General features: G+C 36.8%; 1 protein-coding gene across 3 annotated transcripts in view; it reads left to right on the forward strand.

Moving 5' to 3' along the window:
- Positions 1-9,820, forward strand: part of KLHL7 (kelch like family member 7) — a 72,130-nt gene extending 62,310 nt beyond the window's left edge. For all 3 annotated transcript variants that reach the window (NR_033328.2, NM_001031710.3, NM_018846.5), the window contains 2 exons: positions 4,854-4,951; positions 5,921-9,820. Coding sequence is in view for 2 of the 3 variants with exons in the window: in NM_001031710.3 (NP_001026880.2) it covers positions 4,854-4,951; positions 5,921-6,204 (382 nt within the window). In the remaining variant the exon portion in view is untranslated. The remainder of the gene's footprint in view (positions 1-4,853; positions 4,952-5,920) is intronic.

The raw sequence follows: 12,173 nt of genomic DNA on the forward strand, positions 1-12,173 counted from the left end.
AGATGTCAAAAGACCAGAGGAACCCAACAGAAGAATTTTGTCCTTGAGTGAAGAGTGTATATAAACTTTTGAGTGTGCTAGGGTCAGTGGCATATTTATGACCTGGACCTTTCCCTTACACCAGAAATGGCTTGAACTTACACCCCATGGGAACCTCTTTCTTTCTGGTTCTGCGTGCAATAAATGCCTATGAATGAGACACATCTGATTGATTCGTCAACTCATAAAATGTTTTTGTTTGAGCGGTCAGGAAATGTAGAGGAGGAGGGGGGAGTTTATGACCAGCAATAAATTTATCCTTAAGTAGAAATATTAGATATTGGCTCATGGCATTAATAAATCATGCCTCCCTAGTTCTTTTTAGGTGTAAACTTCCTAAGTACATTTAGATTCATGTTTATTAAATAAAATTATTCTTAAATCAACTGCTTTTAAAAAGGCAAAGTGTGTCAAAAAGGTAAAATGCTAAAGAAATAACTGGTTAGCCAGTTTTTCTGACCTTGTAGTTAATGATGGAACACATTCAATGTAGCCAAAGGAAATGTGCTAATCATTGAATAATGGAGAGGGCATGAGGGCACGGGTTGTGAGTAGTGACATTAAAGCTGATGAGGACATAAAACAGATGATACCCTAGTCGTACCTTTTATGGAAACATCCAAAGAGCTTTGATAAGAAAAGTCACTTGATCATATGGCTGGATTGCCCATCGTTCTTCCCTTACTAGAACAAGTTACTGGGTGAATACGTTCACTAAAATGCTATGCCAGAGTTGCATCAAAACTCTCGTGCTTAAAGTTTTATATTTAGGAAATATTGCCAAACTACAAAACATGGAAGTCTTCAACTCCAGCTACTGCTTTTTTTAAAATTAAGAAATAAGATGCCAGGCATGGTGGCTCATGCCTATAATTCCAGCACTTTGGGAGGCTGAGGCAGGCAGATCACTTGAGGTCAGGAGTATGAGATCAGCCTGGCCAACATGGCAAAATCCCGTCTCTACTAAAAATACAAAAACTAGCTGGGTGTTGTGGCGCGTGCCTGTAATCCACTACTGGGGAGGCTGAAGCAGGAAAATTGCTTGAACCTGGGAGGCGGAGGTTGCAGTGAGCCAAGATTGTGCCACAGCACTCCGGCCTGGGTGACAGAGCAAGACTCCATCTCAAAAAAAAATAAAAAATAAAAAAATAAGAGCTTAATTATAAAATATGATTAATTATGTGCATTTATCTATGATTCCCACATATTTTTAAAAGATTTAAGGAAGCATAATCAATAACTTCTTTCCAGTGCAAATAATAGAAAAGCAAGTTGTCTTGAAATTTGTCTTTTGCTAAAGATGTTTACCAACTTTGCTCCCTTTTATGTGAACCTCTACCTTACTTCCCATAAACCCTAGGCTCAAAAAGTGTTACAGCATACTAGTTGGAAAACTGATTCATTCTGCTAATTATTTTTTATTTCTAAAAAATCTCTTAAAAGAGAAGCCATAACCATAAAAACTCTAGGTTTCTAAATTTTTACATCTTTATTCAGGCACTATCAATGTAAATTAATATTGATTTTTTACTTACTTTTTTGTTCAAAGTAAAAATATAAAGGAGTTCTGCAGCTTCTGTATTTTTTAAAACTAGGTGAATATTCAGTTTCAGGAATATTTAAAAACTTACAAGACCTAGCATTTCTTTCATTTTATATATATTGAGCTTAAATTTGAATTCTCTATGTTCCCTTCAATGCCCTTAAATTTTCACAAATGAAAAGCTAGTGTGAATATAATTATCCAACTCTCAAAATAAATGTTATATTATTTCCTTTTAAAAATGTTACCTAGTCCAGGTGTGGTGGTTCATACCTGTAATCCCAGCACTTTGGGAGGCCGAGGCTGGTGGATCGTCTAAGGTCAGGAGTTCGAGACCAGCCTGACCAACATGGTGAAACTCTGTCTCGTCTAAAAATACCAAAAAAAATTAGCCGGGCGTGGTGGCGCGTGCCTGTAATCCCAGCTATTCAGGAGGCTGAGGCAGGAGAATCATTTGAACCCGGGAGGTGGAGGTTGTAGTGAGCTGAGATCGTGCCATTGCACTGCAGCCAGGGCAACAAGAGCGAAACTCTGTCTCAAAAACAAAAACAAAAATAAAAACAAAAAGTTATCTAGCCAGCCAAGTTTTTTTTAATAAGAATTTCTTCCCAATTTTGACATTTTAAGTGTTTGATAATTAGAATGTGTTTAATTGGAAGCTGAAAAACTAAGCCTATGGACCATAGAAACACAAATAACACATGTTGTCACTCATGTGGGAGCTAAAAATGTTGATCTCATGGAGGTAGAGAGTAGAATGATGGTTATCAGAGGTTGGTTAACAAGTACAGAAATACAGTTAGATAGGATAAGTTCTAATATTCAGTAGTACAGTAGGGAGACTATAGTTAACAATAATTTATTGTATATTTCAAAATAGCTAGAGAAGAATTGGAATGTTCCCAACACAAAGAAAAGATATTCCTCAGCAGCAACATGGGAGGCCTGGGTTCCTTCCCTAGCCCAAAAAGAAACAAAAGGAAAGATAAATGTTTCAGGTGCTGGATATCCCAGTTACTCTGACTTGATCATTACACATTGTATACATGTGTCAAAATATCACAGGTACCATAAAAATATGTACATGTATTATGTATCACATTTTTAAAATCAGTTTTAAAAAAGATGGAGAGGAGCAGAAGCTCATAATAAAGTAACTGAAGAAAGAAAGAAATTATGTCTATGGAAACAATGTGACACAGTTTGAGCGGTCAGAATTTTAAGAAATGACTTTTTTTTTTTTTTTTTGTGAGACGGAGTCTCACTCTGTCACCATGCTGGAATGCAGTGGCACGATCTCAGCTCACTGCAACTTCTGCCTCCCAGGTTCAAGCGATTCTCCTGCCTCAGCCTCCTGAGTAGCTGGGATTACAGGCGCACGCCACCACACGGGCTAATTTTTGTATTTTCAGTAGAGACGGGGTTTCACCATGTTGGCCAGGATGGCCTCCATCTCTTGACCTTGTGATCTGCCCACCTTGGCCTCCCAAAGTGCTGGGATTACAGGCGAAAAAACGCTTCTAAACATTAAACTTCAGATTGCAGATAGCGGGGACCTAGTATGTACTCTGCATGTGAATTATAGGAGGAAGGGGAATTTGTGAAAGTTTTTTCTAAACCTTCAGGAGATTTAGATATACATAAAGACATGCTGTCTTTTTATATCATTAACATTATATTTGGAGAAGAAAGTGGTATGTAAATGGAATTTTTCCAAGTCAAATACTGTGTTTTAATGCATGATGATAGCTGAGTCTATAAATCTCACTACGTGCAGGGCAGTGAAGACCTAGTTTTTACTGCTGTCCCACTTCCGAGCTGTATGCCGGTCACTTCACCTGGATGAGCGTGTGTGTTTTTCCTAAAAACAGGAGCCATGCTGTCCACCTCACCTTAACAGAGAACTTTGAAAATGAGAGTGGTGACTGTCAAACCATTTTTAAAACAATACATAAATGTAAGACAAAAGAATTGTTAATACTTCAGAGTTAATCATTGTGCCTTAATTATGTTTTATAAAGTTGAATTCATCAAATTGTTTTTTGTTTTTTGAGACGGCGTCTGCCTCTGTCGCCCAGGCTGCAGTGCAGTGGCGTGATCTCAGCTCACTGCAAGCTCCGCCTCCTGGGTTCACGCCATTCTCCTGCCTCAGCCTCCTGAGTAGCTGGGACTACAGGCGCCTGCCGCCACGCCTGGCTAATTTTTTGTATTTTTAATAGAGACGGGGTTTCACCGTGTTAGCCAGGATGGTCTCGATCGCCTGACCTCATGATCCGCCTGCCTCGGCCTCCCAACGTGGTGGGATTACAGGCGTGAACCACCGCGCCCGGCCGGCCATCAAATTATTTTAAAGAAGAGATATAAACAATAATTATAGAGAGTTACTCTTATGCCAAGTTTCCCTTTTGTTGTTGTCCTTACTGTTGTTTGGCGTCTCTTGGTTTAAGTTAGCTGCTGAAAGCACAAGCCTGTGTGCCAGTACCACCTTCACAATCACAAATGTCAGTCTTGGGAGTGTATGCAGAAGAATGTATTAAATCTCAGAAAAAAATAACTAAACTCGATTGTCTGTGTATATATGCATAATGCTGCAACCTGTGAATTAATATCCTTTAACACTTGGGTCCACATTTATATTCTCAGTTTCATTATTTATATATTAGTGGCTGTGAACAGAGCAACATGAGGTATTAAACTTGACAGAATGATAGTACTTTTTTGTTACCAGAGCAGCATAAAGTTCTTAGTGTAGATTTAAAGATGGACATGTGAATAGTAACAGATACTATTAATTTCCTGATTGCCTGAGGCCCATTATAAGTTTGTGTTTTACTTACGCATATATAAATAATAATTAAAGCTAGGTGTGATAGAACTAGTTAATATTTCCTGCCAGCAGAGGTGTGAAGAAAGAAAAAAGAATTATTTATCTTCGAAGCATCTTCCTCTTCTTTTTTGTTCCCATATTACAAGTTTTTATGAACCTCAGGAAATGGATTTCCTCTAAAAACGTGTTTTTTAATAGATATCCTCATTTTCTTATATCCTATCAGAATTGAAAGGAATAAAATCCATGTTTTCCCCGTGTATTAATAAATTACCCATAATCATTGTTCAACTTTTGTTTTCTACCCTTCTAGACATTTTGTGCGTATATGTACACATATGTGAGTAGTAAATGAGCACTTAATTAGAATAATAGACCTTTCTCATTAGTATGAGTTCTTTTACTTCCTGTAAACAAGCACACTAAAAACTTTAATTTTTTCAGATGGACTGAGCTGTGTCCAATGATTGAAGCCAGGAAGAATCATGGGCTGGTATTTGTAAAAGACAAGATATTTGCTGTGGGTGGTCAGAATGGTTTAGGTATGTGATGTTAATTCACTGTTCCACTTTCCTGATGAGTTTGCTGATACTTCCTTAAATTATTGAAGCATTTTTAAAAATCTAGATAGAAGCATTTACCATGTATATTATTATATCTATTTTTATAGTTTCTGGGAATTAACATACTTGATAAAATATCGCAGGATGTTAAACATTCCTGTTTATGAAATGTCGCAGTAGTCACCAGTCATTGTGACAATTTTAGATGGCTCCTATACATTCCCAGATACCTCCTGGGGAATGATGTCGCACCAGCTTAAGAACTATTGAGCAATAGAAATATTTGAACTTTAAAAAACCTTTAAAAACTTTTTAAATACAAGTTTTAAGGCTTGTATCCAGGTCCTAAATGGTAAAGTTTCCTAAATATTTTTAAACATTGCATGAAAATATCAATATTGTAATTTTTAAATGACTAAATTTGGCATTTTGTTTTCATAAATAATGTACTAAAGAATCTTAAATAATTGTCTTAAATGAAAGGGAGTCGGAACTGAATCTAGACACAAGCTTCAATTTAGTCAGTACTTTAAGCATCACTTAAGTGTACCAGTAACTTCTTTTCCTTCTTCTGTCCCTGTCCATTGCTATTTTCCATAAAGTGCTAAAAGGAGGAAAAAGAAGGACATTTGAGTAATTATAATCAAAGTTAATCAGAGGGGAAATCACCGATTGGTTTATTTTGCATTTTTCCAGAATAGATAAAACATGTTTAATTTTGTAGAAAAAAATCAATATTTAAAAAGAAATATTAAATGTCTATTGTGTTAAGAGTAAGAATTTAGGTGGTGGCTATGTGGACATTCACTGTAAAATTATTACAGTTTTTCTGTGTGTTTGACATTTTTCACAATAAAATATTGGAAAAATACAAAAAGTTATTACTTTAAGAAACCTTAGAATTGTTGATATAGTTTTTCATGTTGTTCATGTTTTATTCTTTTGAAGGTGGTCTGGACAATGTGGAATATTACGATATTAAGTTGAACGAATGGAAGATGGTCTCACCAATGCCATGGAAGGGTGTAACAGTGAAATGTGCAGCAGTTGGCTCTATAGTTTATGTCTTGGCTGGTTTTCAGGGTGTTGGTCGATTAGGACACATTCTCGAATATAATACCGAAACAGACAAATGGGTTGCCAACTCCAAAGTTCGTGCTTTTCCAGTCACAAGTTGTTTAATTTGTGTTGTCGATACTTGTGGAGCAAATGAAGAGACCCTTGAAACATGAAAAATGAGTGGACTTCAGACTCATCAGAGACTCTAAAATATAGCCACCAGTGCTTTGTTCCAGGAGTTTGGTGACAAAGTTTTGGTTTGGTGTTTTGGTAAAGAAAGTTTCAAGTGAAATGAGGTTCCTATAAAATAGATGTTTCTTTTATATGGATTTCCTTAATTCAAAGATCATATTTTAGCTGGCCACAAAACCAAGAACATATCTAGCAAGAAAACTTGAAAAAGTATAAGCATTTGTTAAAAATGTGAATTTCTTGAATGAATTTCACATTTGTAACTATGATTTTGGCAGAATAGAAGATTGGCTCATCAGTGAAGCGCAGTATCTTAGCTCTAGATTCTATTTTCATGCATCACAGAAGTGCTATACGGTTAGGTCTGTTTGTGCTCAGTCAAGAACTAAGAAATAGTATGAATTGTAAGTCAAGATGGGCAACTCAGATGGAGCAGCTTAGTCTCACAGTTTGCTTGTCTATTTATTTTATTTAGTGCCAAATGTATTCCATTTTAAAAGTAAGCCAGAGTGAGTCAAGGCATATACACACTTTCTCACAAAACTTCCTAAACAGATTTGGGGGTTTAATATGTCCAACTCCTCATGAAATATATTCAATCCACTTAAATATATTCCATCTTTTTAACATAAAATGTAAAGCTTAGCACCCATCATTAATTTATGTCTCTGTTTTATCCAGTGGTTAAAAAAGGATTCTGCCTCTTTAGTCCTCACTGTTAAATAAAACCCAATCATAGTAAGTGATTAACTAGCAAAAAGTAAAGCTATTTATAGCAAATTTCTAGATCATTAGAAAAGCACTGGTAGTTGTACAATATCAGTGTTGACTTTGAACTTCTTTAACGAGATCATGAATTCTTTTCCCTTAGCCAAAACATGAAATATTTAACCTAGTTGTCTCTAAAAGTTTTGTAATCATGAGTTAGATATATGTCATCTCCTATTCATTGCTTTTATGTGATCAATAAATCTTTTACAAACCCAACTACTCATTTCCTTCCTAGTAATACTTTGCCTTTTTCACTGTGTATGGAATGAAACATGTAAAGCTGTCACAATCAATGTTTTTATCTGATAATATTAAATATTTTTTAACTTAAAATAGGCCACTCAGTTTGTTCTTCAAGTATTTTAGGTAATGGTTGTTTTTAGAATTTGTGAACCAGTGTCTCTTAATTTTCAGTTTTCTTTATATAGAGGTTATAATAGTCTTAAACCCTAAAAATGTTTAAATCAAAAAGGAATTAGGAAAAACATAATGATAGGTATATTTCTATTTGTGTAGGGTTTTTTAATGTACAGCTTTATTGAGATATAATTCACATACCATACAATTCACCATTTAAAGTATACTATTCAGGCCAGGCACAGTGGCTCACGCCTGTAATCCCAGCACTTTGGGAGGCCAAGGTGGGTAGATCATTTGAGGTCAGCAGTTCAAGACCACCCTGGCCAACATGATGAGACCCCGTCTCTACTAAAAATACAAAAATTAGCCAGGCCTGGTGGTGTGCACTTGTAATCCCAGCTATTCAGGAGACTGAGGCAGGAGGATTGCTTGAACCTGACAGGCAGAGGTTGCAGTGAGCTGAGATCAAGCCACTGCACCCCAGCCTGGGCAACAGAGCAAGACTAAAAAAAAAAAAAAAAAAAAAAAAATGTATTATTCAGTGGTTTTTAATATATCCACAGAGTTACGCAACCATCACCACAATTTTAGAACATTTTCATCACCCCAAAAAGAAACCTTGTACTGATTAGCAATGGTTCCCTATTTCCCCCAACGCCCCTGTATTTCCTAGGGCTACCATAACAAACTACTGCAAACTTGGTGGCTTTAAAGAACAGAAATTTATTCTCTCACAATTCAGGAAGCCAGCACTCCTAAATCAAGTTGTCAGCAGGGTTAGTTCCTTCTGGAGGGTCTGCAGCAGAAACCACACATGCCTCTCCCCTAGCTTCTGGTGGTTGCCAGCAATCCTCAGCATTCTTTGGCTTGTAGCTGCAGCACTTCAGTCTCTGTCTCTGTCTTCGCATGGGCTTTTTCCCTGTGTGTCTCTGTATCTTCACATGGTGTTCTTATAAGGACAACATAGGAGCCAGACACAGTGGCTCAGGCCGGTAATTTCAACACTTTGGGAGGTGGAGGCAGTAGGATCACTTGAGGCTAGGAGTTCAAGACCCTGTCTCTACAAAAAAATAAAAAGTTAGCAGGTGTGGTATATACCTGCAGTTCTAGCTACTCAGAAGGCTGAGGTGGGAGGATCACTTGAGCCCAGGAGTTCAAGGATGTAGTGAGCTATGATTGTGCCACTGCACTCCAGCCTGGGTGACAGACTGAGACCCTGTCTCATTAAAAAAAAAAAAAAAAAAGCTGGGCGCTGTGTCTCACGCCCTTAATCCCAGCACTTTGGGAGGCCGAGGCGGGTGGATTACCTGAGGTCAGGAGTTTGAGACCAGCCTGGACAACATGCCAAAACCCCGTCTCTACTAAAAATACAAAAATTAGCCAGGTATGGTGGTGTGCACCTGTAGTCCCAGCTACTCAGGAGGCTGAGGTAGGAGAATTGCTTGAACCTGGGAGGCAGAGGTTGCAGTGAGCTGAGATTGCGCCACTTCATTCCAGCCTGGGTGACAGAGCAAGACACCTTCTCAAAGCAAAATACAAACAAAAAAAGGACAACATAGGGCCCGCAATCCAGTATGACCTTATTTTAATTACACCTGTAAAGACCCCATTTCCAAACGAGGACACATTCTGAGCTTCTGGATAGACATGAATTTGGGGAGATGCTGTTCAACACAGAAAACCTCCCAAACACCATAGCCCTAGGCAACCACTAATCTACTTTCTGTCTCTAGATTTGATTATTCTGAACATTTTTAGTAGGGTTTTCAATTTTGCACTCTATTGAAAAATGTGGCTAGTTTAATTTTTTGAGAGTGAAATATCCATTTATTATATTACAATATAGCTATATAATTTGACAATCTCCTATGTAGAATATACAGTACCTGTCTAAGATATTTTAAGTACACCAGCATTTCCTTTTAGGCTATGTCAATTGACTAGAACACACTATAGTAAATACATACACAGGTTTGATGTGGATTATAATGAAGTGGTTTTTTTCCTTAGTAATCTGTATCATAATTCCCAATTAGTGTCTTTTTCTGCCTTGGAAATTTCTACAGAATTGTCAATATCAGGATAGTGCGTAAAAGTACACTCACCATACTGACAAGCACATTTTCTATTTTGTTGCCCAAAACTCCCTGTCCTGTAAAGTGCTCTGCTTGCTTTTTAGTAGACATTTGATAAGTTAATGTTATATCCTTTGCAATGATATTATTTTGATGACAAAGTAAGTTTATGCTTTCAAAAATCACAATTCGGTCAGAAAAGTTTAGCATCTTAAAAAAATTGTTGCTATTTGAAAAAAACAAAACAAAACATATACTTGTGACTTTGTGGTCCAGCTGGCAAAAACTTGACATATCATCCCATGAAAATTTTAAGTCATGAATTATTTTGACATGACAATATTGCTAACAAAATCAAAATCAGCCGTTTAATAAACAATTATTCCACCAAGCAGTCTATATTCCTTTTGCCATATATACTGTTAACAGCAAAAATTTTGGATTTGCTACATATGCATGGGTAAAGGAGGTATTTAGACGAAATTTTGCTTTCTAAGGTTATACCAAAGACTTGAGAAAATCCAATTTACTCCCACATGGCACCAAACCAGCTCTCACTGAGAGTCATTATTTGGACCCTTAAGTCCAAATAATCTGTTCTTTTAATGAAAGGACATTTTACAGGTGGCATCATTCAGCGTTTGATAAATCCTTCCTTTAAATAGCCTCCTCCCTCTTTACAGTTGCCTCAAAAGACTTCAAAAAGCTTGAATCCACTTTTATCTTTCTCACCTTCCTCCTTCCCAAGATGATTCACACTACTTTAGAAAAAATAAAAATTTTATTTAAAAAAGTCTGTGCTGGGAAATTGTTTGAAATGTTGCCCTTATTAACTAGAAATCTTTTTACTCTCCAGAGCTTTACGCCCTCTCTCATAACAGATTTAAAATGGGGTTCAAGATCTAGTTTGAATCTTATAGAAATTCCCTCAGACTTTATCTTCTAACCTTCTTTAATTTGTTCCCACTATCTACGTTTTCCAAGAGTACTTTATTTCTATAATTGTTCTTTTATATAGTATGCCATTCTTGTTTCATGTTATCCTCTCTGATGATATTTTAGTTTCTTTAAATTTTAAAAATATTTTAGTGTTTTTGTTTCCTCTAACTTCTTTTTCTGTTTCTTTGCTTTGCTCTTTCCTGTTGGCATCTGCCTTCAAATGTCTAGTCCCTGACTGTGCATTTGGATTTAAATGAGACATCTGAAAATTGATAATTCAGGGGTACAAGGGTGAGCTTAATCAATGAACTTCATTATATGATGAGGAGATGGCCAACTATTTTTGTTGCTAGTCCATAAGAGATCCATAGGTATTTTTCTGGGATGTTTGACTCACCATTCAATAAGCATAAGCCCTCTCTGTACCTGATGTCCTAGAATCTGAAGTGTCTCTCATTCCTTTTTATTGGGGAGGAATCCTATCTCCTATCAAGTCGAGACAGTTGCCTCATCCAATTGGAAGGGGAGGCAGCAGTATTTTTCCTCTGCCATCTTGAAGAAATCAGAAGTTTCCTTCCTGTAACCCCACTCTCCTGATTTCCACCTATATATACCCATCACCAAACCGATCACTACCAAGTCCTGCAAGCCCTAGGCTCTCATTGTCTCACACACACTCCACCTAGACAGTCTCAACCGGCATTCTGGCCTTGCCCCTCTCTACCTTCACCAAGCACTGGGCTTACCCTCACTTAAGTTTCAGTCACCACTGGTATTATTTTAGGTATTTGATCCCAGCAAAGTCCTTACACATGCTGACATGTGCAGGAATGAGAAGTCAGTGGCTACAAAGCAATACTGGTTAACACAAGGTGGTAATAAAATAAATATACTAAGGTTAATGAAAGCCAAGTTTCTTGTTATCAATGGAGTTAAAAATAGAGGAAAATAAAATGAATCATGTGATTTTGGATTGAAATTGGAGATTATCAGTGTGAACTCAAGTTTTTTTCTTTTTTTCATAGTCTTTGACATAGAAGGCATAATAGTTTTAATATATAAAATATAGAAATGTTTGATGTAAATGTTCGTGTTTGTTTATACATATGTATTTCCCAGCAATGTTCATGACAGCAAAGACATCCCAGTAGCAATAAGCACATTAAAGCTCAGATCTTGGTTTCTAAGCAGCACCAAAAGGACCCCTGGAGAAATAACTGATTTCAGGACTGGAGTAGAGAATGTAAAAATGAGCCTGGAACATCTCTGCACCAGAAAGTAAAAAAGTGCTCAAGTAATCATGGGGAATTTTTTTTTCTCCTTTTTCGAATGTGTAAAGGAGCTTAAAGGGGGTCCCATTGGCCAAATTGGAGATGATCTGAGCATCAAAATAAATAATGATAGTAATGGATTATAACCCATTGAATAACATTGGAAATCATGAGTCCATACTGATATAAATAAATAAGTGAATGAGCTAAAAGTTGGATGAACAATCAGATTTTTATATACTTTCAAAGTACCTCCCCACAAAATTCTTATTAATAACAAAAAGGAAAAGAATAACTTTATGGTAGAGCAGCTTGGCAGACACCACCTTAAGCAAGTAATCCATTGAGCATTACAGGTAACAGGACAAATTGAAATTGTGCACAACCTGCAATGTGAAAACCGCAGCATCACTTCTGTGATAATCCTGACAAAGATGCATAATCTGAATCTAATCAAGAGAAAACATCAAACAGACCTGCACTAAGGAACCTCTACAGTATAAGCAGCCTGTAGTCTTTAATAGTGTCAAGGTC

The sequence above is a fragment of the Homo sapiens genome, chromosome 7 (genome assembly GCF_000001405.40).
Source record: "Homo sapiens chromosome 7, GRCh38.p14 Primary Assembly".
Lineage (NCBI taxonomy): Eukaryota > Metazoa > Chordata > Mammalia > Primates > Hominidae > Homo > Homo sapiens.